The 3,595-nt window shown below is 46.1% G+C and overlaps 1 annotated feature.

The window, feature by feature from the left end:
• Positions 375-1,155: an enhancer, noted in NCBI's record as "OCT4-NANOG-H3K4me1 hESC enhancer chr9:84458661-84459441 (GRCh37/hg19 assembly coordinates)". NCBI's record gives its function as "activates a minimal SCP1, AML or CMV promoter by ChIP-STARR-seq in naive H9 embryonic stem cells {active_cell/tissue: H9 hESC(naive)}" and the evidence as "EXISTENCE:reporter gene assay evidence [ECO:0000049][PMID:30033119]".

The following is a 3,595-nucleotide window of genomic DNA, read 5'->3' as shown; positions in this document are numbered from 1 at the left end:
AGGAGGCAGAGACTGCAGTGAGCCAAGATGGTGCCACTGCACTCCAGCCTGGGCGAGAGAGTGAAACTCTGTCTCAAAAAAAAATTTGCGGTGCAAATAAACATGCACAGATATGAACTAATGACCCATTAATATGCCCTTTGGCTTTCAGTCTCTCACAACACATCGAGGGCAACTATTTTGGGGCCCTGTCTCATCTGGAATGTCTACTATAAGACACCAGGTAGGGAAATCAATTTGCTAAAGAAGTTCAAACCTGTTGTGTGACTAAACAGAAAACAGTAAATTAAATTAGCAGCCACATGAGGTTGAATGGTGTACCTGGGAATGACAATGACAGCAACCTAGCCATGAGACTGTCCTCTGGGCCAGAGGGCAGAGAGGTCAGAGTTCATAGTGGACCCTGACATATGTTCCCTCTCTGCTGACCTGGACCAGCTGTCCCTTCCTATGTACACAATGAGCAGAGGCCCCAGCTTCTGATGTCAGTGTGTTGGTGACAGTGCAGCTGAAGGTGTGAGAGGTGTCAGGGAATGTGACTGCTGATCTACATGCATTCCCTAAAAGGAAGTCTCAGATATGACTCAAAGCACTTATCAATCACTCATGTGGGCAGAAAATGACAAGCAAATTGCAGGCCCCATCAAACATTTCTTATGCTGATGCATCCGTAAGACAACCTATGGGGAGGACTCCCACAGAGCAGTGAATGTTTATGAGCGAAGTGATTAAAAGCTGCTTCAGATCCAGCTTTAAAACTGGTGAACAAAACACGAACTCAGTAGCGGTTTCCCCAGGACCCCGTAGACAATTATTTCAATCCAGTGGGGGTGCATGTCTGCCTGCGGGAGAGGGGACAGCAGTGCTGCCGAGCCGCAGACTCAGGCCCACCTCTGCTAAAGCCTGGCTGAGCCCTTCTCTGCTCGAGTCACCTTGGGCCAGTGAACACCTCTGAGGCTCAGTTTCTTCACCTGCAAAACAGGAGATACCTAAGTCATAAGAGTTGTGAGAAATAGTGGTAGGTGGTCATTAGTGTTCTGACAGCTTATAGAATGGTGCCACGTGTGCTGCAGGAGGTCAATACAAGAAGAACTAACACTTATTTAGAGCTTGCTTTGTGTGCCACATATTGCTTTAAGAACTTTAAGTGTATTGTTTATTTAATCCTCTCAGTACCACCAAGGCAAGTACTAATGTCATCTGCATTTTATAAGAGAGGAAAATGAGGAAAAGCAGTAAGTTCCCACATCTAATAAGTGAAAGAATTGGGACTCAAACTCAAGCTTTTTTCTGACACCAAAGTCCATGCTCTTCACCCGTAAATGGTGACAAGTCTTTGTCCTGAGAATTACTCATAGAAGACAAGATGGTGGCCGGGCGCGGTGGCTCACGCCTGTAATCCCAGCACTTTGGGAGGCCGAGGCGGGCGGATCACGAGGTCAAGAGATCGAGACCATCCCGGCTAAAACGGTGAAACCCCGTCTCTACTAAAAAATACAAAAAAATTAGCCGGGCGTAGTGGCGGGCGCCTGTAGTCCCAGCTACTTGGGAGGCTGAGGCAGGAGAATGGCGTGAACCCGGGAGGCGGAGCTTGCAGTGAGCCGAGATCCCGCCACTGCACTCCAGCCTGGGCGACAGAGCGAGACTCCGTCTCAAAAAAAAAAAAAAAAAAAAAAAAAAAGACAAGATGGTGTCAACAAACTGTGTCTTCTTTTTTTCTCCCCCCTAACTCCCTCCACCCTGTGAATCTTGCTCTCCTTGCACTCTGAAGGGGACTCAAGTCTTGCAGGAGCCCCCAAATCCTGCAGAGGCTGCTGAGTCCAAGCTAAACTGCTCTGGGTTGAGGGGAAATCACTCCAGAGCCTTTTCTAGCTTTGCTATGGGCACTCAGCCTAACCTTTATTTTGTAACTGATTTACCCTGCCCAGAAGTCAGCCTCAGCTACTTTCTGTGAGAACTGGGTAGACGCAGGAAATACTCGGCTGGCCAACCAGAAAATTAAATAAGAAAGTCATCAGGCCCTGAAGCTTAATACTCAAATGCCAAACAATTTAGAACAATGAGTCACTCTTTCAAAATAGAAATAGTTGTCTTCCAATGTCTTAGTTCTTGCAGAATAACATAGCGTCATGGTTAAAAACACAACCTGTGACTGGGCGCGGTGGCTCACGCCTGTAATCCCAGCACTTTGAGAGGCCGAGGCAGGCAGATCATGAGGTCAGGAGTTGGAGAGCAGCCTAGCCAACATGGTGAAACCCCGCCACTACTAAAAATACAAAAATTAGCCAGGCATGGTGGCACATGCCTGTAATCCCAGCACTTTGAGAGGCCAAGGTGGGCGTATCACAAGGTCAGGAGTTCGAGACCAGCCTGGCTAACATGGTGAAACCCCATCTCTACTAAAAATACAAAAATTAGCCGGGCATGGTGGCACACGCCTGTAATGTCAGCTACTCGGGAGGCTGCGGCAGGAGAATTGCTTGAACCCGGGAGGCAGAGGTTGCTATGAGCCAAGATCATGCCATTTCACTCCAACTCTGGGCAACAGAGCAAGACTACATCTCAGGTAAAAAAAATAAAATAAAATAAAATAAAAACCACAGCCTGCAAGCCAGAGCTCTAGTACCAGCTCTAGCTGTGTGACCTTGAGCAAGTTTCTTAACCTCTCTGTGCTACAGTTTCCTTATTTTTTAACATGAGAATAATAGGTTCTACCTCAGAAGTGGTTGTGGGGATTAATGAATTAATATTAGTGTTTCTATAACTCATGTCTTTCTTGCAATTCCCTATAAAGATCAAACAAATTCCCCTATGTTAAATTACTCATTTTGATAACTATGTGAGGAGATGATGCACAGATGGCTTTCAAGAACACTAATGACCACGTTCTTAAATACTTTGGAACATACCTGGCACATAATAAGAGCTATATAAATATTAGCTTGTATTACCATTATTATTCTATTGTGTTTCAGTCCAGGCATATAGGCTTTGCAGCAATGTCTTGAAAGAATTTTTCTTGAAAATCTTTTTTCCTATTTTTACCCTCTCACTACTAGCTACCCAACCCCTCTAAACCCCCTCCCCACCAACCCATCTTTTCCTTAAAAGCAAAGGAAATCACATTTAAAGGCCTCGTGGAATTACAACACTCAACATGCTCATAAAAGTCAGGAAATGCGAAAGTTAGTATTCTCTGAAGACGTTAAGTCAGTATAGTGGTTCTAACATAAACATTTCAGAGGGCTCAGTGTAGCCTCTTGAAGTTTCTGGTGGTGAGCTTTGAGGTCTTCACAACTGCCCCCGCCTCACCAACTGCTTTTGTCTTGTAGAATGCCTCCTATGGGTATCAGGTGGCCTCTGGACCTGTCATTTCAAAGGAACACTGCCCCTGCTGTAGACTCACAGCCATCTCATAGAGCAGTGCTTCTCACACTTAAGCATCAGAATCCCCTGGCAGGCTTGCCAAAACACAGATCGCCAGGCCCCACTCCCGGAGTTTCAGACTTAGTAGATCTGAGATGGGGCCTGATGATCTGCATTTCCATCAAGCGCCCAGATGATGCTGATGCCACTGGTCTGGACCACATTTTGG

The sequence above is a fragment of the Homo sapiens genome, chromosome 9, assembly GCF_000001405.40.
Source record: "Homo sapiens chromosome 9, GRCh38.p14 Primary Assembly".
Taxonomy (NCBI): domain Eukaryota; kingdom Metazoa; phylum Chordata; class Mammalia; order Primates; family Hominidae; genus Homo; species Homo sapiens.
The sequence above is the reverse complement of the archived record's forward strand: the minus strand, read 5'-3'. Positions and strand labels throughout refer to the sequence as shown.